We start from the raw sequence: 22,648 nt of genomic DNA on the forward strand, positions 1-22,648 counted from the left end.
TGTGGGATCTGCTTTAAGATAATCCAATAAGAAATAGAAGAAGGAAGATTGGATACAGATTAATAACTGATGAAACCAGATGACTGGCACATGGGATTTCACATTATTCTTTCTACTTTTGTGTAGAATTAAGAGTTTTTATAATAAAAATGTTTTACATCTCCCCAGGAGACACCCACCTAGGACATGTTTTGTAAATGTGTTCCTGATAATATAGCACTGCCAAAACCCCAGGACTGTCTCTCAGTCAAAGGTATTGATTTAACATGTAGCTTTTGAAGGGCACGCTGTATTCTTGTTGCCTATTGCCTGTTTGCTCCAAAGGAGTGTACTCATGACAGAAATTTGGGGAAGTTGATAAAAGAATATTAAAACACTGCTGCATATGACTTGGGTTAAGAGTATGCTTTCTTGTATATGCATACAATGTTTCTGGAAGAATTCACTATTTGCTTCTAGACAGGGAAGCCAGGTTTCTGAGGAAAGGGATTGAGAGGCTAGGTTTAAATAAATTAAAATTAAATGATTAAATGAACAAAACTATGCTGTCACTGGAGGGTTAGATTTGTTACTACCTGTGATACTGTCCCAAGTGAAAGTGATCTGCCCAGTGAGCCTAAAACCAAGTTAATTAAAGATTATGTACCTAGCTCCATTGTTTAGCAGTTGAGTAACAACTGCTTGACAGACTCAACTTGATGAATCAGTACATTAGGGCATCAGTTAAGCTGTTTAACTCCAGCCTTGGAACCACCGTGGAGACAATAGCTTTTGCTCACATTCTTAAAATGCTGCAGGATTATGTCCATAGTACATGAGAAGGTGCAAACTTCTCAAAGCTCATCTATACCCTCATCTCTGCAAGTGGACTTCTTAGAAAAATGACTTAGGAATGATATGGAAGATACACAAGCTGTCCCAACTGAGTGGGAACAAAGGCATCCCTGCAGGCAGGCAGGAAAGGGCCCCCTAACTGAGATGATGGCACCCCTGAAATCTGCACTTTTCGGTGAATTTGCCATGAAACTATTCTTACACCTGAGAATGTGAACCTGCCTGTGTTACAAAGCTCCTGATCTTTTCAATGCAGAGAGAACACTGTTCCTCTGAAAGAACAAGCTGGCACAGTTATTGCTAGCTGCTGCCACAACATCCTTGTTTCAGAAGAAAACAGATGAACTGGAAGTCAGGAAAATCTGCTTATGATTTTTGGCCTCAAGACACGCATGTTGAAGTTCATCATCCCAAATGCGGGAGCATTCGAAAGACTGGTAAATGAATGGAGTCTTTACAACTGCTTCTGATGTTGGAGTGACTATATGCTATTTGAGTATATGTGTTAAACAAGTCCATGATGTTCTTCTACAAACAGAAGAACAGCGGGGCACATTTACCTATTTAGGGGAGGGAGCTGGAATCTATAGCCAGTTATGAATTGACTTAGAAAACAGAACCAAAGCAAATGTAATACCAGTTTTTAGACAATGCTTATGACTTGTGCATATGTCTCTGCTGAAGCATTACTAGGCTGTTGGATTGAGGCAGAGAAGAATTGACAATTTCTAGTTGAAATATCACCTGCAGTTCATCCAGGACTCTGTTCCAAAGACAGAAGCCATAACCTGTATTAATTCTTTCTGTTCCATCAGTCTGCTCAGCTTATTATGGACTACTCTTGAGGACATGAAGATTCTTACGTGTGTAATGAGATGTACCAAACCGCAACATTCTTGGGTGCAGAGAACCAGCAAAAATTGAAAGTTTCACATCAACACACACTTGGTGAGGAGGACAACGTGGCAATGTATATCAAAATTGTAAGTAACTCCACGTCTGAGAATTTACCTTAAAGATGTATACATTCCAAAATGATGCATGTAAGAGATAATTCATCATAGCATTGTTTATAACAGCAAAAGATTTAAACCAACGCCTTCTGTAGAGGACCGGTTAAATAATGGTACCTCCACACAATGACATAGTATACCATCATGAAAGAATGAGGCATCTTTAAGTACTTTAAAATCTTGAAGATAAATCAAGAGGAAAAGGTTAGAGCAGTAGTTAAAAGCAGACTTTCATTTGTAAAAAGGAAGAAGGTGGATAAGAATATGTTTTTGTATTTGTTTACATCTTTCCTGAGATTTTGTACCTATACAAAAGAAACTGACTACTAGCATCATCCAGGGTGAGAAACTGAACGTCCAGAAGACTTTTCACAGTACAGTTTCCATTTTTCAATCATGAAAAATCATTCAAAATTTTGACTGTTTAATCATGAATTATCTATTCCAAAAGAAATATTTTAAGTTAGACTTTGAAATGACTATAAGACGGTATCTAATACATAGTTGGCACACTTCTTACGAATGATGATTTCTTGGATATACAATTAAATATGAACTTGGAATTTCTGCTTTTAGCATTATGGCTAAAATAGAGTTTTTTCTCCTACTCAAAAGTTAACAAAGGAATTGTAGAACTTTCTTTTTTTTACCAGCCTCCCCCATCCTCTACCCCCTGACTTTTATGACGATTCTGAAGACTGCTGAGAAGTAAACGTTGGGTGTGAGAGAAGCGCTGTGTCCTTGAACTCCCCAAGATTTAGAAGTGCCAGGAGCACTAAGAAATTGCCTGGAGCTATTTTGCTTACATTTATTTCTGCCCACCCGGCTCCAGGCTTTGTATTTAGTCCTCTTTCCTCTGGCCCTCCCTCTGGTTTCTACTGAATCTAAAACTACAAGAAAGAAACTAGGTATTTTTGAGGCATAAATTATTGGGCACAATTTAATCATTTACAAAGTCTTGCTGATGAACTCAGTTATTTGGTGATATTTATTAAAAAGAAATAATAATTGGAATAAATGTATTTATAAGTGGTTTTCATGATTCTCTAATTAGATGAAAACAATATATAAACAAAGCCCCTTGAATCTGGGACCAATATGGACAGTTCTTGGCTTAGCAATATGGCACATCTCCTTGAGAAATGAGTATAGTGTATCTTGGGGGTAAAAGGAAATGAAAAGAGCTGAACTTGCTCTAAGACAATGATGCCTACATTCTGCAATGTGCATCGGTCTTATTCTTACCTTCCCATTCTGACTGCCTCACAGGATTGGTTGAGAGGATCAGAGTGTAGTATGTGTGGATGCACTTCATAAATGCAAAAGTGTGGTTCATGTACAAATACTGGCCCTTATAGTGCTGAATTTACCCAGAATTTTGCCCAGAAATTTGCCCAGAACTGTAAGATCAAATGTGTGCAGATATGCTGAAAATACTGTAAAACAGTTGATGATTAGCAACTATGATATTTCTAAGCAAAATACTGGATATTTCTTGGAGAACCCCTAGGACGTTGGTTTTTAAGCCTACTCTTGGGACTTGCAGTTTTATTATTGAAACTTGAGAATGCCTTTGCATTCTCAAGCAGACTGGCTGAGGCTGCTTAATGGTTTCCATATCCAGGCACTCTGTGGGCCCCCACATTGAAGTGTGGACCTCCAGGTTCTGGTGCAGGTGTCAGTTTTCATTTCCTGTGCTCAGAAAGGAAGGAATTATCACCACAGCTGGGCCTTCAGTTTTTACTGAGGTGAGGGAGATGAAGAACCTTAATACTGGTCACTAACTTGTAATGAGATTGTTTCAGGAGTCAACCTGCTGGTTAAAGAGGACCAAGCCATCTAGGGGTATTTAGGCATCAATCGGCTGCTCCACCATCAAATTTTAGCAGCCAATAAAGCTGATCATGTGTGTGACCCACCTTCCCCTGCTTGGGAATGCAGTGCTTAGCTCTTAAGGTTGGAAGGTGATTGACAACAGGACTTCCAGTACAGAGAGAACCTTTGAGGTATAAGAGGAAAAAAAAAAAGCCCAAGGCTGAATTAGGCTATCAGAGATATATCCTGGTGTATAATTAGCGTGGCTTCTAAGAAGCTATTTTAGTGGAAGTACACATATAATAGAATGGCCCAGTGACTTGTTCAAATGTAACCCTGGGAGTGAATCAGCTTTTAGTGGAATAAAGATTTCCAAGGTCAGCCTTTTTGAACCCACTGTGAATTAGTTTTCTCTTCTGTCCAAGAATATGCAGACATGGTCAGAGTGAATGCTGTGGTTGAAGTGGAAGACGTCTTTGTCTACACTGTCCCAAAACCTCGTGAACGGTTTCCTTATGTGATTAGCTCTGCCCTTAGTCGCTTAACTAAGTTGTTAACTCTGCTCTGGTTACTTATTGCACATGGGTTGGAAGACTCAAACGGGATCATGCCCATACAAGCACTGTTAAGTTGTATAACGCTGCATACGTGTAACTGTTTCACAGGGTGGTCATTAGGAATAAATGAGATTGCCTGTAGGAGCCAGCCACTTTCGGTGTTCCATTCATAGAGCAATTAGGGCCCTGATCAGAAGCCTGATTCCAGAAATAAAGGGCCTCTGCTTTGCACCTGATGGTCTAGTCTCCTGTCTGTGTCAGCCCCATCTTCAGTTTCCAGCTTTGGCACACTGTGCTCCCAGTGTCTACTCTCCAGCCAGCAATGTTGGCTTTTCTTCATCTTCCAAGCCCACTACTGAGACTCCAAACCCAGGCATGTGAACTCTGACTGAAAATCATGAACATCTCAGGGAGAGAGACTAAAGCCATCCTCAGCACATCAGGCCTGATACTACCAAGGCAACCTTCTTCTCCTTTGTCTTTCCTGTTTCGGCTTTCCAGGTCTCCACCTGGAAAGCAGAGGCCAAAGAGGGACAGGAAAAAAATCGAGTTTAGTAGCAAAGAGCCAAATAATTGCTTCACTGGTACCTTGGTACAAAGTTCTAATTAATTAACTGGTAGAAACAGCTGCAAATATTAAGACTTGAGCAAATGTTTTGTGGGACTTGACATACCCTAGGACATTGAAACAGCAATGGAGTGGCATGGGGATCTGGCCACTGATAGACCAAATCCTGACATCACATCTGTTAGCTGAAATATGGACTAAGTTGTTTTTAAACTGTATACTTAAAAATAATATAGATCAATAGGAAGTTGCAAAGATACTGCAGAGTATCATGTACCTGTTCCCAGATTTCCACTAACGGTTACATCTTACATGACTATAATGCAATTTAAAAACCAGGAAACATATTGGTATAATGTGGGTATAGCTTTATGCCATTTTACTACAAATGTAGATTTATGAGAACTTCAGTCAAGATACAGAACTATTCCATCATCACAAAAATCTCCTTCATGCCACCGCATCATAGTCTCACCCCCATCATCATTACCACATCCCTAACCCCTGGCAACCACTAATTCATTATCCATCTCTATAATTTTGTCATTTTGAAAATGTTTTAGAAATGGAATTATACAGTATGTGACCTTTTGAAGTTTGCTTTATATATATTGCCGAATTCTATTTGCTGATAATTTCCTGAAAGTTTTTGCATCTATATTCATGAGGGATTCTGGTCTTCCGCTTTCTTTTCTTGTACTGTCATTGTCTGGTTTTAGTATCAAGGTAATATTAGCTTCTTAAATTACTGGAGAAGTGTTCCCTCCTCTTCTATTTTCTGGAAGTGATTGTGTAGAATTGGCATTAATTCTTCCTTAAACATTTGGTAGAATTTGCCAGTAAAACCATCTGGTACTGGAGAGGTTTTTTTTTCAGCAGTTTTTAACTTATAAATTCAATTTCCTTTATAGTTATAAGGCTATTCAAATTGTCTATTTTATATAAGGGAGGTTGTGATAGTTTGTGTTTTGCAAGGAATTTTGGTCCATTTCACCTAAGTTGTCAAACTGATGTGTGTAGAGTTGTTCATAGTACTCTCATGTTATCCTTTTGATGTCTACAGGGTCCGCAGTGATATCTGCTGTTTCATTCTTTATACTGGTAATTTGTCTTCTCTCTTTCTTTTTTGTTAGTCTTGCTAGAAGTTTGCCAATTTTATTAATCTTTTTAAAAAGTTTGTGTCTTATTGGATTTCTCTATTGTTTTTCTGCTCTTCTCTTTTCATTTCTTTCCTTCCCCTTGTTTTATGTTTATTATGTTCTTCTTTGTCTAAGTTCTTGAGGAAGGAGCTTAGGTTACTGATTTGAAACTTTTCCTCTTTTCTACTGTAAATGTTAAGTGCTATACACTTCTCTTTCAGCACTGCTTTAGCATAGATTTCTTTTTTACTTGCCTTGAGACCTCCTCTTTGATTATTTAGCAGTGTGTTATTTGAACATTTCATTTTCTCTTTCTTTTTATGTGTAGTTTAATTCCATTTTTGTTAGAAAACATAATTTGCATAATTTCAGTTATTTCAAATTTGTTGAGGTTATTTTTGTGGCCCAGGATGTGGCCTCTCTTGGTATCTGTTCCGTGGGCTCTTTAGAATGTGTTCTGCTCTTGTGGATATGCTGTTCTATAAATGCCTATTAGATCCTGTTGTTTTATGGTGTGGTTGAGTTCTTCTATATCTTGCTGATACTGTTTATACAGGTTTCTCTCTGGTTGCTGTATCAATTCTTGAGAGATAGGGGATTCAAATATCCAACTATGATTGTGAATTTGTGATTTCTTCCTTCACTTCCATCGGTTTTTGCTTCACGTATTTTTCAGCCCTGTTTTTGTGGTCCACGCACATGTAGGACTGCATATCTTAGTGGATCGGCCATTTTGTTATCATGTAATGTTCTTCCCTGTTCCTGGTACTTTTCTTTGGTCTGAAGTCAACTTTTTCTGAAAGCTCCTCTTGCTTTCATTTGATTAACCTTTGCGTAGTATACTTTCTTAAACCCCTTTACTTTCAACCTACCTAAATTATTATATATGAAGTTTCTTATAGACAGCTTATAGTTGAGGCATGTATTTTTATCCACTTGACCAATTACTCTTTTAATTTATATATTTAGATCATTTATATTTAATGCAATTATTAATAATCTTAGGACTTAAATCTGCCATTTTAGTTTTTCTTTTCTGTTGTTCTCTGTTTTTAATTTCTCTGTTTTCCTTTTTCTGCCTTCCTGTGAGTGAAAGTAACATTTTTAGGATTCCATTATCATCTGTCTAGAGCATGTCTGAATGTATCTTCTAGAAATTTTTTTAGTGGTTGTTCTAGGTATTACATAATATAACGTAAGTTATCACAGTCTACCGGTATCATCATTTTACCAGTTTGAGTGAAGTATAGAAAACTTACTATCCCTTATGTTCCTTTACCCTCTCCTGTATATAATTATTAATTATGTTTTAATTATTTCCTGTACATTCACTGAGAGCCACATCAAACAGGGTTATATTTTTGCTTCGACCATCAAACATAATATAGAAAAGCCAAAAGGAAAAGAAAAGTGTATTACATTTACCATATTTTGTGCCCATTGACATTTCCAGGTTACCTGCTTGTCCTGATCCAAGTCTGGGATACATGAGGCAAAAAGAAAACCCAGGGAACTTACTACATATTGTTCCTCACCTCCTGAGTTTCCTAGCTGTCCTACCTTCTTTTCTCCTCATTTCAGAAACTTCTTGTGTCTGTTTTATATGTAATGTCCAGCGTATTTAGTTGTACTTATTGGGAGGAATAGGGAAAAGTGTGTTTTCTTGTCTTGTCTAGAAGTGATGTGACTAAGTGGATTTTAACTGCTCCTGCAATTACAGTTCGTGGCTTGAAATCTCCTTGCTCTTTCTTCTATTCTGTTGCTTATTCTGTTTCTTGGAATAAAAGTTAAATGTATCTTTAAATAATCTTGACCTCTTAGATTAATAGTTGATTTAACCTTTGATGGGTCGGACGGGGGCGGAATGGAGATGGAGCTACTAGAAAGCTATCAGTTAGAACAGCAAAAGACAGCAGGTAGACCAAATAGATATGCTAAATAGACACAGTGCTGGCTCCTGAGAGTTGCTTCCCCAGTGAGCTAAGTCAGTCTTTTTGCTCATTGCCTTATCATTCTTACATAACCTACACTACACTGCCTTATGAAATAAGAAAGGTTGCTAGACTGGAGTCAGGAGACCTAAGTTACAGATGACACTGTGACCTTGAGCAAGTGACTTGACCTTCCTCAGCTCTGTTTTATTCATCCTTAAAATGTGCTTGTTGGTGGATTAGTTCCTAAAGTTTCTTCCAGCTCTTATGGTTTGTAATTACTCTTCACAGACAGCTTCCCCACCACTACTACACACGCACATGCAAGCACCTGCAGGCAACTGCTCACCGACTACTTTGTCCTACAGAATTCTTTAAAGAGGATTTGGCAACATGCTTCTACAAGACATTTAAAACCTCACTCATCAGTTTTTGAAAATCTTGCTCATTTAAATTGTCACAGCTCAAGAGCCCTGGGATTTAAACCTTGGAAAGGGTAAGGCTTGTCAGCAGAATTTCTGTGTTAATTTGTAAAAAGCTAAGAGATATTAAAACTTTCCACTCTGCAGAAGGCAGTAGAGAGACTGCAGACAAGGAAACCCAGAGGGGTAGTAGAGGGAAAGTCACTGACAAATGCCTGCACTCTCAGACCCCGGTTTTTCCCCTGTCCTGCCAGTATCTCCAGCCCTACTGGAATAAAAGGGACATGAACTCGAGGGAGAGGAAAAATTGTAGCCAGTAGAGACAAGCTTAGAAGGAACAGGAACGAGAACAGGATCTGAACATAAACAGGCTTGAGATAGTCATGATTTATGAAAGATCAAATAGATATCTGCCCTCAAAGTACAAATACATTACAGAAAAGCTTATCCCATATATTTCCTCTTTGTCCTTTATCACTTAAGCTACAGAGATGATACCATTGGTTGAAATATTTCCAGGAAATGCTTGTTCACACATTAAATTCCTTAATACACAGTGATTGGACAAATTGCTCAAATCTACTAGAAGAAGGAAACTTTTTGAAATTACTAACACTTCCCATCCACTAATTTCTTTTTTAAAAAAATTACACCAAATGGGAGTGTTCTTTCCCAGGCAGTCACTAAAAATCATTGTCAGTGGTGAGAGTTGTTTCTGATAGACTTTTTGTGTATGGAAACTCAAAGGAGGCAGAAGAGACAGAGGCATTATGAGATGGGCCATGTGAAATACAAGATCATGTGAAATGATTGGGGAATCCAGAGAATGGAACCTTGGCTCAGGAGATCCTCTGGCTGGAAAAGGAGGACTGGAAGGGGGTCATGGAGCAGGCTTGGGGAAAAACGGGCTGGCCTCAGATCTTCTGTTACCACTACCCCTTCTCAAAATTATTTTCAGGGAATATTTTCATGCTGTCCTAAGTCATTTGGTAGACTTTGTTACTCAAAGGTTCATAGCATCTGAAGAACTGACAATATTTTGAGTATTTTACCAACGTATATATTTCTCCCCACCTTGAGAGACAATTGAAGGCTGACAAAAAGAGTTATTTACATCTATCTCTCTCTTGTCCTTTCTCATCTCCCTTTAACTTTCCTTCATTTCACAAGTGAAGGCCCATACTACCAGGCTGGTAGGGAAGACAGGAAAAGAGTATGCCTACAAGCCTCACAGGAAATGGAGAACAGCAGGAGGAGCTAGCACCAGCACCGTTTATGACTGCACAATGCACTGCTACATAACAGATGTTTAAAAATTCCTTGAGTCCCTAAGGCCTAAGATCATAAAAGAAGAGATCACAGAGAAATAACAAAGTATATAATACCATGATTATATGGTGCCAACAAAGCCAGAGTTTGCAAAAAAGAAGAGTGGCCAATAGATAAAATAAAGCAGAGTGAGCACTGGGGACTATGAGAATTGATTGGATTTTACCATTAGGATATTATTGATGACCGTAGCAAGGATGGTTTTATGGAGTTATTAGGGACTGAAAGCTAGATTGTACTGAGATACAGTAGAATAAAGACAAGTGGAAGCTAAGCAGCGAGCACCAAGTTTGAGAATAAAAATGTTGGTAACTTCAAGAGGAGGCTCAAAGGTGGTTTTTGAGAAAAATGAGCAATGTCTGTAGGCTGAGGGTGGGAATATGGAAAGGGGATGTTAAAGCTATCAAGGAAGCTGGGTTAATGGAGCAAGATTGCAGAGGAAGAAGTGAGGAAGGGTACAGTGGAAGGATTGGCCTAGGGTACTGAAGGAAGGAGGATGAGAGTCTGTGGGAATCCCAGTGGAGTTTGGATGAGTAATTGCTGCAGTTCTCTCAGCATCTCTGGGAGAGCACAGCCCAGCCTGGGCTTGGAGGGCTGTGGTATATCAGGGGCAAAGTTTCCATGAAAGCTTAAAAAGTAGGAGATTTTGACAACGGAGGGAGGATTTGGGAAAGCAGGTGGGGGAAGGAAGGGTTCATTATAACAGAAGCCAAGGCAATAAGCACCTGAGAGAAAAAAGCAGATAATGAAAGGAAAAAGAAAACTGCTACATTTTTTCATGTGGAAATTGATGGTTATAAAAATAAAATCAGAAATCACTGACCTACAAAATTCAACTTCAGTGTGAGTCCCTGTGGTGGCAGAACTTTCAAGGTGGTAACTGTGGTGGATTTATGGAGGAGTTGGTGTGGGCCTTTGTCTTGCTGAGTTAAAGGCAGATATCTTGGGTGTGCACAGCAACAGAGAGGGCTCTGATCTTTCTCCATGGAGAGACGTCTTAATGTATAGGGAGTAGGGAGGGCCCTGGTCTGGTCCCAGCAGGGACTGTCTTGCAGTGAACAGACACACTAGGTATTAAGTAGATCAAAGAAAGATGATGTGAAAGTCTAGGAAGTTTTTAGGGGAAAGAGTCAAGCTTAGACTGCATATTAAGAAGATAAGGTAGTTTCTGGCAGGAGGCTTTGGACATGGATGTGGTGGGAGAGGAGGGAGAGAGGAGACCGTCCTACTAGAGGGTGCCTGTGGGAGAAGGGAGGCTGAGGTCCAGGAGACCTGTAAGTTACAAATTTTGTGTCTTCTGCGCCTCCTTGTGGTCAGCCATTTCCACTCCCAGCTCAGCTCTCAACTTTTCTCCTCACTGGTTTCTGTCTAAATGCCTCAGCATGGTCTCTGAGGTCTCTTGAATAGTCAGCTTCCAAATGGCTCTGCCTTCCCAACAGCCTCCTTCCTGTAGTAAGCATGCCAGTATCGCCCAGTGAGTAGATAACTTTCTCATCGCCTCACCTGGTTCATATATTTGGGTGTTATGGCCACTTGGTGCACCTCCTCTTTCTCTCTCCAGCCTTCCCAGATGAGCACCTCTCTGTTCTCACTGAGTCCTGGGGAAACTGGTCAACAGCTTGATCTTGGGTATCTATAAGACATCATTGCTGGGTTGGATTTGGCTAATTAGTGGCTGCGTGGTCTAGGTAAGTTAATTAACTCACTCATCTTGGGTTAAGGATGTAGTCACATAACATACAGATATGTCTGACACTCATAGTAAGTGCCTAGTCAGTGTTAGCTACTCTTACTACTAATGCATCCTTTGTCAGAATCCAACTCCAGGCAGACTTAGGAAAGCCTGCAAGTTAACCAGGGTCCTAACTATCATACCAAGATGCCATGCTAGCCGCCTACATGCCTAACAGATGCATCCCTTTTTCAGTATCCATTGCTTGCACTTCAGACCTTTGCCAGAGCCCTCCAACTCCAAATGTTCTCTCCAGAGTTCCGCAAAATTCAGTGGACATAATTGGGGAGGCAGAGGAGAGGCATTCTAGGCAGTACTTACACCGATTGCATGTACCTTGGAGGATGAAAATGACATCTAAATATTCATTCTTCCAAAAGCTACATTCTAGAATTGCAATATTTTAGCTTCAGGTGAAGGTGCTTTCTCAGAACTAGTTTGTTATTATGTCCTAATCCCATTAAAATTGAGATTAGGCCAAAAAAAACATTTTTGTAAATGCCTTGACATCATTTTTGTACCATCTAAAGAGAGCCAAAAGTGGCTTTTAGAGTTATTGCTACCTCTCTCAATTCATTGGTAGGCTTCTAGCTATTACATAATAAGAGAAAATGGAAGAAATGGAAGAAAATACCATTCATTAAGCCACTGAATAAAGTCACCTCTGAAAGTTGCCCTCCAGTGCTTGGCATCACAGAGGCTCCACTTATATAATAACTTCCTTTGGGTATATACCCAGTTATAGGATTGCTGGGTCAAATGGTATTTAAATGGTATATAATGGTATTATAAATCATTCTACTATAAAGACACATGTGCATGTATGTTTATTGCAGCACTATTTACAATAGCAAAGACTTGGAACCTACCAAGATGCCCATCAGTGATAGACTGGATAAAGAAAATGTGGCACATATATGCCATGGAATACTATGCAGCCATAAAAAATGATGAGTTCATGTCCTTTGCAGGGACATAGATGAAGCTGGAAATCATTATTCTCAGCAAACTATCACGAGGACAGAAAACCAAACCCCGCATATTCTCACTCATAGGTGGGAATTGAACAATGAGATCACTTGGACACAGGGAAGGGAACATCACACACTGGGGCCTGTCGGGGGGTGGAGGGCTAGGGGAGGGAGAGCGTTAGGAGAAATACCTAATGTAGATGATGAGTTTATGGGTGCAGCAAAACACCACGGCAAGTGTATACCTATGTAACAAACCTGCACATTCTGCACATGTACCCCAGGACTTAAAGTATAATAAAAAAGAAAACTTTCTTACTCTCCTCCTTCTCTTATCATCCTCCATCCTTCCCACTCGTACTCCCTCCCAGTGTGCAAATCTTAAAGAGACCAGCACCATTATTTATGACCATATTTTTAGTGGGTGAAGATTTGATCAGAAAAGGGATTGATAAGGAAAAGAATTCCAGAAATTTGGAATGAGCCAAGTGCTAAGATCCTGTGGTTACCCAGCTCTCTTACTTCTGATTGAGACAGGGGGAATTTGAGCTATGGGATTAAAATTGTCTCTCTACCACTTAATATTTCTCCTTTCCAACTGCATGTCACAAGGGCTGCTTCCGAAAGCTTTGCGCAAAATTCCGACGGCAACAAATTTCCCTGACTCTCTACTCTGTGTAATGCAACCACACAAACTCTTGTGCTTAATCTCTCTCTCACACACACACACACGTAAATCAGTGGTTCTCAAACTTGAGTGTATATCAGAATCACCCAGAGGTCTTAATAAACCACAGCTAGGTTGGGGTAGGACCTAGTAATATTTCCTACAGGTTACCAGGTGATGCTGATGCTGCTGGCCTGGAAACCATACTGAGAACCGTCGAAGTAAAAGTCTTCTCCTTTTCTAGCCTCAACAACTATGCCTGTAGCTGAAGACTACACAGTTACTCATCACATCTAAGCTCATAACACTGATTCATCTTCACTCCTAAGCCTGGAGCCGAGCTGCTCCCTGCACACTGGCTCTCGACTCCCTGGGTGTGCCTCTGTCTTAGTTTATAGCAGGCCATAATCCATCTTGTGGCACTCACCCTATCTTGACTGCAGAACTTGCCATCTCTATTAGTCAGCTCAGGCTGCTATAACAAAGTATCACAGGCTGAGTGGATTGAGCAACATAAATCTATTTTCTCACAGTTCTGGAAGCTAGACGTCCAAGATCAAGGTGCTGGAAGGGTTGGTTTCTTCTGAGTTCTCTCTCCTTGGCTTGTAGGTAGCCATCTTCTCCTCCCTGTGTCCTCACCTGGTCATCTCTGAGTGTGTTTCTGTGTCCTTATTTCCTCTTCTTAGACGGACAGCAGGCATATTGTATTAGGGTGCTTGTTAGTGACCCCATTGTAATGTAACCACCTCTTTAAAGGTGCTATCTCCTAATACAGTCACATTCTGAGGTCCTGGGAGTTAGGACTTTAACATATGAATTTCGGGGAGGGACACAATTTAGCCCCTAAGCGAGATGCGCCATTTTTCACACCTCTCACCCTCCACCTCTTCACATTCTTCTTGCTGTTTTATTCTCTCTTCTGCCAGCTTCCTGAGGGGGCCCAGAGCCTCACAGGCCTGAGGCTAATTGTGGTGCAGGGGCTCACGAGGGGTGGGTTTTGGTGATCTGCACACCGACACCTACCTCTGTGAGGACTCTGTAGTCAACACCCTAGATAAGCAGGGCCCAGTCACAGGGAAAAGGGTAACAAATTGCTTGCAGAGGGACAACTGGCTTAGAGCTGGGTTATTATTCTTGTAATCTCCAGATCACAAGCAGCAGGCTGCACTGGGCTCTGTTGGCACGTACCTCTTCGCTCCACTTGGGAATGGTACTGGACAAAACTAGAGGAGAAAGAGGCTGAAGGGCCTGTTTGCCTGGAACCCATACTCTTTTTCAAGTTAATGCAAACAGCTCCAAAAACCCACTAGAAATCTCTGGTCTATGGAGGAGAAAATGACCTCCCCCCATGGCTAGCAATAATTCCTGATGCTTTTTATGCTTTACATGGCTTTCTTCCACATGATGACGTTTGATCATGATGCCAGCCCCATGGGGTCAGCCAGACTGCTATAATTATACCCCATATTAGAGATTAAGAAACAAGTCTAAGTAAACAAAACAAAGACTTAGGTTATGATCCACCCCCAATCAGAGGTCTGCCCTCTCAATTATACTCTACTCACCTCAGTTCTTTTCTCTTCTAAGCATTTCCCAAAATGTGGCCATTCACATAGCTTGTTTGCATTTTTGGCTATATTCATCCAAGCACCACTCACTGATTAATGAAGTCCATGGAAGATAAGGTCCTGATTTGAGTTTGGTACTAAGCAATATATTGAATTCCCAGGGGTTTGGTATGCTATTTTTTTCTAATATGCATTAAAAATAATTATTAACTCCTATTACTTTAGGATATACTTTCCATCTCACACTCTCTTCCCTCTGCGGGGCTACAGAGGCATCTTGACAGCAATGTTTTTCAAACTCTTGGCTGCAATCCACAATAAGAAATAAATCATATGGCAACACAGTACTCACATACATGCACATATATAAAACAAAAACCAGTTTCATGAGATAATATGTAACCTGGGTGTGACACATGCTATTTTCTATTCTATTTTTAACGCTTGTTGTGATACACTAAATTGATTTTATGAACCAATAATAAGTAGCTTCCTGCGACTGGAAAAAAATAGTCTTTTACAGAATGTTCTGTCCAACTTTGAAAGCGTGGCTTACATTTCGTTTACACCTCCCAGGAGAGGAGACTGCAGGAGTCAGGCTGGAGAGAAGCTTCTGGGGCCCTCCCCTTACACTTCTCTTCCGGCCACTTAGGGCTCAGCAGGCTGCAGCCACCCAAAGAAGGAGGAGGCTTCCTGGACAGGGAGGGCACTGTAGCTCCAAGGTTGCTGGACTCAAGGTGGAAGTCTCCACCACACCCTTCCCTGAAAAAGAATCCAGAGAGCCACACATTGGGAAACTTCACAGACACTCTCCCTCCACCCTGTAATGGGATAATTGGACAACCCATCCTAAATACTACATGTCATCACCCCTCTGACCCCATCTGAGCTGAAATGGAGCTCTGGTGCCTACGGAGTGGATTTTCCCTTTGTGGTATTTTAAAGTTCTAGTCTAAAATATCTCTCCACAAATGCCTGAGATCCCATTGTTAGAATTGTATTCCTTTGGTTTCAGCATTACCATCCTAAGATTCTTTTATATATACAAGTGTGCCCAAATTGAGTTTCTAAGGCTTTTCTCCTCAAGTCTGGCCTTAACTATAAGTTCCAGAAGTTGATTCTTCTTTTAAAGGGAGACCTACAGTAGGTGTTACCCTTCCTTATGACATAGAACTCATTGGCGCTGTAATGAAGGCCATAGGACCCCTTCTCGAAATAATGTTTTTAAATGTACCAAGTAAAATGTATAGGATTACAAATGAAATAATATCTATAATATCAAAAATTCTCTTAGAATTTAGATAAATGATGAGTATTAACAATATTTTGGGGTAACTGTAAAAATTGTAACATGATGAGAAAAACTGATTAGACATATACTCTATGATATGTATAATAGGTACATGTATAAGAGTTATATATAACAGTTATATGTCTAATCAACTATTTTCATCATGTTACTATTTTTACAGTTACCTCAAAATGTTAATATTCAGACCATCTAAATTCTAAGAGAATTTTTATACTATATATACGGTATCAAAATATGTTTTAATTTGTAATACAATTATACACGTATTTAAACCTTAATAAGATCTAGAAGCAGGTCTAATAAATAATCTAGAATAATGTTAAGTATAAACAACATGACAAGGTATTTGCAAAGCATAACATGATGAACATAGCAAATTTCCATTGGTGGAAAGTCTCAGGTTCTGGCAACACTGCTGTGGTTTGTCTACCTTCATAATGAAGGAAGCGCTAGATTACAGTTAGAAGCTAATGATGTTAAAGACGTAATTTTTCCTGTCCAAGTTCATAGATCCTTTATATTCTTTCCATAGATCGCACTTAAAGAGCCCAGATCTAGAGAGTTGTCTGCTACCTTTACCATTTCCTTTCATGTCACATACTTTCAGATTCCAAAGCTTCATCTGCTGAGCCTGGTTTTATGAATGTTGTGTGTTCTGCCTTCCAAATCTTGCTGTGTCCTTCCTCACACATCCCTCACCTGCCCTTGTGGTCAGCCCAGTTAGAGCAGTCAAGCCAGGGCCCACACTCCACTGCATCTGGGGATGGCCTTAGTGATGATGCTCACCAAGTTCCTGGGGAGATTATATCAGAGGGCAGCTTGACTTTGACTCCAAGAAGTCCCTAAATCAATTATTCTGCCCCTGAAATTTTGTCAGGAGACCTGTAATTATCTCAGCATATTAATAATGTGAAGGAGAACTTGTCCCTATTTAAAGCAGGGCCTTTTCCCTTCTCCAACCCTGCATATGAATAATACCTGTGTCTAGACTTTAGTTCCAAAAGATAGATCTTTATTCAGCAAGTGGGAGTCTACTGAGCTCAGCACAGAAGAGTTAACAGCAAAGCTGAGATATACTGTCACTTACCAAGGGGAGACCAGTTCTTGTCCCAGAGGATGCAAAGGAGAATGTCTTTGTGGATCAATCAGGCCACTCACTCAGTGATGTATCAGAGTGTAAAAAGACAGTATGACACAGTGAGAGTGCGGCAAATAAAAGCATGCATGTCATGTCTAAAGAAGTCAATTTCACATATTTTTAAGTCTGTATTTTGGGCTGGGGGACCGCAGCTTAGAGCACCCAACATAGCTCTGAAGCCAACATGTGGAGTCCACTCCAAGGACCGCCAGCGCCATCTCCACAGCTCTCCGAGATGCAAAGGGCTGCCTAAACAAGTCACTTAGGGAAGAGAAAGGGGTTGCCTTGGTTCTGACAAGTGGTTAGGAATTGAGTTTAGCACTGTATTAAGGGACACAACAGTTTAGACCAGCCTGACCAACATGGCAAAATCCCGTCTCTACTAAAAATACAAAAATCAGCCGGGTGTCATGACGGACACCTGTAAGCCCAGCTGCTCAGGGGGCTGGGGCTCGAGAATAGCTTGAACCCGGGAGGCAGAGGTTGCAGTGAGCCAAGATCACACCACTGCACTGAAGCCTGGGTGACAGAGGGAGACCCTGCCTCAAAAAAAAAAAAAAAGAAAGAAAGAAAGAAAAGAAAAAAAGAAAAACAACACTCAATTTTCAGCAAGGTAACTATGACAAAATTCTTCTTTGAGAGGAAAAAAAAAGTGGGATTAACATAAATAGACCAGACTAATTCTGGGAATGACTTAAGGAAAGTTAGTCTTTGGGAACTGTCTCTAACATGTGGGGAGAAATAAGGACAATTACTCCTATATTTTTGTGCACCCATTTTTGTTGCCCCCATCAAGACACAAAATCTTGAGTTTGGAGGTCTACCCAGAGAACCAGCTTTTCTGTTCTTAGGTTTGTATGTCAATTATTTTGACATAAGCTCCTAGGTCAACTACCTCTAGTCTAAACCAGGGCAGGGCCTGGCAGGCCTCTGGGAGAATTGCCTGTGACCGTTAACATGTGGGAGGAGCCTGAGGAACATTCAGAAAAAGGAAGAACGTCTCAGGAAGTTAAGCAGGGGATGTCCCGTGGTGTAGATGAGATGAAGAGGGCTAGTCAGAGAATAAGAAACCATACTGAAGCATTGTGTTTCTTTCCACCCAGCCCAAGTGGCTGAGGGACATGAAGCTGTCCAGTCTGATTGCAACACCACCTTCCCTCTATCTCTTTCCCCACTCAAGCTGGCCTCAGGCATTTGGACAAGATGACAGAATGCAACCAGCACTCAGAAATGTGCAGCAGGCAGCCTGGGTAGAGTTACCCTAGCAACAGCAAGACTTCTTGAAAGCCCTGGAGGCTGGGTGGAATTGGAGGCAGGAAGACCTTCCCCCTTTAAGGGTGCCTGTCACACCAAAACTGACCTGCAGGGGCAGCAGAGGAGAAAGACCAGAAAAGCGGCGTCGTCTGTCTGGACTAGGGTGGTGGGTGCTAGATGGCCCTCACTATTACTTCCTATGAACAGGTGCACCTATCTCTTGGGGGCATTGTTCAATGTTTCATCCAAGTTTAACCACAAAATAACTCCCCTACCTTCCTGTGTAGGAGACACATCACACTAGCATCTGAGCAAAAGCAGGAGCTGGGATGTGGACTCTTGAAAGGATATGGGTCTGTCCCCTACTCCTAGAACACAATGTGCCGAATCCAGCAAGAGGTCAGTCTTTAAAAATCTAGTAATCTAAGAATTGTCTGTAGGTCCTCTTCGGTCAACTCATATGGGAGGGTTTGGGGTAAGAGTCATCCTTATAGTGTTCCTCCACTTCCTTCTGACTATGGCATCCACTCATAATCTTTCAAGAGGGTTTATCTTCTTACTCAATTAAAATGTGGAATGTATGCTGTTGCTTCAGTGAGGGACATGACACATGGCAAAGATGGTAACAGATGTGTATGGGAAGTGGCTCCCTGGTTGACCTGGGGGAGCCTATCAGAATGTGTGCCTCAGTGGGTCACTGCCCTTGAGGGCTGGGTCCTGGGCTTCACAGGTTCAGCTCAGTGCAGTCACACTCTAACAGATGCATGGCAGTCACAGGCAGAGGCTGACTTGGAGACTATGTAATAGTGTATTAAAGTAATTTCCCAAGAGGAAACCCAGACACACTCGGGTTTAAATTGGGCATCCTCGTTTACTAGATGTATGACCTTGGACAAGGTTATTTAACCACTTCTCTATGCTTCATCTGTGAAACAAGGATAATAATAGCACCAGCTTTGCATGGTGGAGGTGAGGATGAAATATACTTACATATATACAAGTGCTTAGAATAGTACATGACACTGTAGAAGTCTTGTTATTGTTATTAAACTTGCAGAGTAGGATAGGCTGCACACCATACAACTCCAGAAGATACCATTCACATAGACTCCAACGTGAACGGTGTCCCCAGAGTTGCGCAGTGCACAATCTGCATGGGTACGTGATAGCCCTGAAGTATTAATTCCCATTTTGCAAGGTTATTGCAAAAATTATAGTTAAATGCATGTGAAGTACTTTTTACATCATAGGCACTATAACTCACAGCTGCTGCTATTATTTTTACTGAGAGATATATCTGGCAGTTTAACAGCAATATTTGCACAGAGTACTTCTTCCTTTTGGGCAGGTTTGCACAGAGACTAAATTTGATTAAAAGGCTATTGAGGAATTTGAAATATGTGAAAAGAAGTTAAATATCATCTCAAGGTTATTCTCATTCCACCAGTATGGAGAGGCAACAGTCTTTAGATGACTGGGACTCACCATTTGAAAAGAGAGTCTTCCACCCTGAACATGGGCCATAGAAACACTGGCAATTCATTACTCTTTAGCTCTCCTTTTTTTGGTCTCTATCAGTTGCCAGGAGCTTCTCTCACTGGATTACCTCATGGGCCTGCTCCAATTAATTAGATAACTGCATCTCTTACATTAGCTAATCTTTAAATTAGTCTCCTCCTAATGAAATTTTAAGGAAGGCCCACAGGCTCCTTGATGAAATTTGAAAGGCCTCTTGGTCTTATCAGCCACAATTTTTAGAAATTATTAACTTAAGCAACATTACAGCCAAAAGAATCCATTGAGTATGAAGCTCAAACAACACATCTTCCTGTGGTCATTCTCAAGTGCTATTGGACACATTTTCTCCATGTTCTAACGAATGTCTGTGCCCTCTGTTTTGTTCTGCCTTTTTCATACAGTGTTATTCCATAAACAAATCTTCAATATTAATCATGTTTTAATAGCAAGTTATTCCAACAAAATATTCATCTTAGCATGCTGAGATATGTCCCTCCAGTGGGGTGTTTGAAGCAGCTAAAAATCTCAGCTGGCAGATATGATGTCTACAAGACACGAAGGATATGAGGGCACTGGGAATGACATGAAACAAACAGAAATGAAATAAACTGCACAACATTAGAGTTGGGAGTATCCTAGGGGCCTGTCTGGTCTAATCCTTTCATTTTACAAATGTAAAAACTGAGGCCCAATGAGGAGATGTGACTTGCCTGAGGCTACATAATTAATCAGCCCCCTCCATTGGGTGGGGACAAGCTCCAGCAAAGGAGCAGCTTCTGCTGGCCTTCCGGGAGTAAGGAAGAGTGCTGTGGTGATGGGTTGCTGCTCTGCAGACATGACCCAGCAGCCTCACAAAGGGTCAGCACAGAGGCATCCATGCTCAGATCTTGGGCTGGAAGCATCCCACAGAGGGGAAAGGAAGGCATCAGAGCCAAACATGTGGCATTCGTCCACTCCCACCCAGCACTTGGAGGTGTGAAAAGACATCCCAAAAGGGAGAACCCAAAAGAGACAGGCAGCTAGAAACTCCTACACAGCTCGCTTCGCTGCAAGACAGAGCCAAGCATGCCAAGCACGGGGGCGAGGAGCCCAGGCAGGAGGGGCCTTGGAAAAGTCATAAACAGCAGCTGCAACGTGAAGATCCACCCCACCCCCAAAACCTCCCCCATGGAGTCAGGTAGACTGGCATGTACTGGAACGGTGGGACTGGGTTGAACTTTCGAAGCCAGCTGGTCTCACTACCTCCTCTGACAGATGTAGAGACCAAGACCTAGGATCAGGAAGGGTCTCACTCACTCAAGGTCACACACAGAATGAGGGGCTGACCTGTTTATAGAATGGAGCAGTCCTAATTCCAGTCCAGGACACTGTCCTGGGGTCTCCCTTTTTCTGGGGCCAGGGAAAGTAAATAATAGCAACTTTTGGAGGGATGGGTGTATAAGATGACACCAATTGATTAATTAGGCGTTTGTTGACTCCAGCCACCTATTCACACATTCTTCTAGATGTCAGCATTTGTTGCTTCGGTGGCTTTAACTGGCTGTAGGGTCTTAGGAAAACTGCATAGATTTGCATGGTTCTATTTCTTCACCTGCAAAATGGGGCTAATAATTGGACCTACTTCATGGGTGGTTGTATGAGTTAAATGTGAAGCACTTAGCACAATACCTGGGGCTGTGATGAATGGTATGTTATCATTCTATTCCACCAGAGGACTGCTTCCTCCACCCATGCAGCCTTTCCCATGGGAAAGTTTCCATTTCTCCAATGGGTTTACATCATCTACTATCTTCTCAATGTGGTAACTGTGCATCTCTGTCTTCACGAATCAAGAGCTGACTCACCACAAGTTCCAGACCAGTGTTTCCCAAACTGGAGTATTTTCCGAGAGTTATGAATTCTTGAAGTGTCTTTTTTCATCTTGTTAATTATAGATTTAGGAAAATCTACCTCATCCCTTGAGGGAAGAGAAATGTCCCCAAAGCTGCTGGCTCCCCTCTCTCCTCTGCATTAAGTTCGTTTCTTTTTGATTGCCCTCTGGTTCTAATCATTCAAGAAGAGAGCGGCCCCAGGCACCAAATTAGAACTGGAAGCGAGGGGATGAGAAAAAGACCCAGAATGAATGATAGGCTTTGGAAAAGGGCAAATTGCAGTTCTCCCCGTATCTTCTGGGAGCCAGCTCTTTTCTAAAGGATTTAAGGGAGGCTAAGGACCCATGGGGAGGCAAGAAGATGGGAGTCTGGGAACAGGATACTGCGGATAAGAATTTGTTCTTCTTTAAGCCTCCAAGGGAAAAAAAAAAAAAAAAACCAGGAGGGAAAATTGTAAACTAACCCTTTGCTTAGTTTGCCCAGAATCCTTCAGCGGGGTGAGCACCACCATCCTGAAGGTCAACCTCCACTCACAAGGGTTCATGTGCTACAACTGCCTGGACCCAATACCACTCTTGGGGACTCTTCCCAGTCAATACCGGCAAAGGTGGCTGTTGACCCAGGGGTGCTTCTGGGGATCTCTGAGAACAGGAGAAGAGGAAAGGTGATCTTAGTAGGGATGACACATTCCTTGCTTCCTGTTCAAGATTGCAGAGCACTTTCCCATGAGCTTCTGGATTGACCAGAGGAACAGCAAGAATACTCCTGTTTGCAGAGAAATGGCTCACACAGCCAGCCAGTAGTAGGGAGAACTGAAAATACTTGTCCTTAATCCTAGAGTGCAAGAAATAAGCATGGCAAGCCCTGGAAAGAACATCAGGAAAGCATTTCTTCCAGATAAGGTCCAAGCATGCTCATTTTATAGATGAGACACCTGAGGCCCAGGGAGATGAAGGGCTTGTCCAGAGCACTAAGTTTTTAGCTGTGGAGGAAGACTAGAACCCAGGCC

This window comes from Homo sapiens, chromosome 6, assembly GCF_000001405.40.
Source record: "Homo sapiens chromosome 6, GRCh38.p14 Primary Assembly".
Classification (NCBI taxonomy): domain Eukaryota; kingdom Metazoa; phylum Chordata; class Mammalia; order Primates; family Hominidae; genus Homo; species Homo sapiens.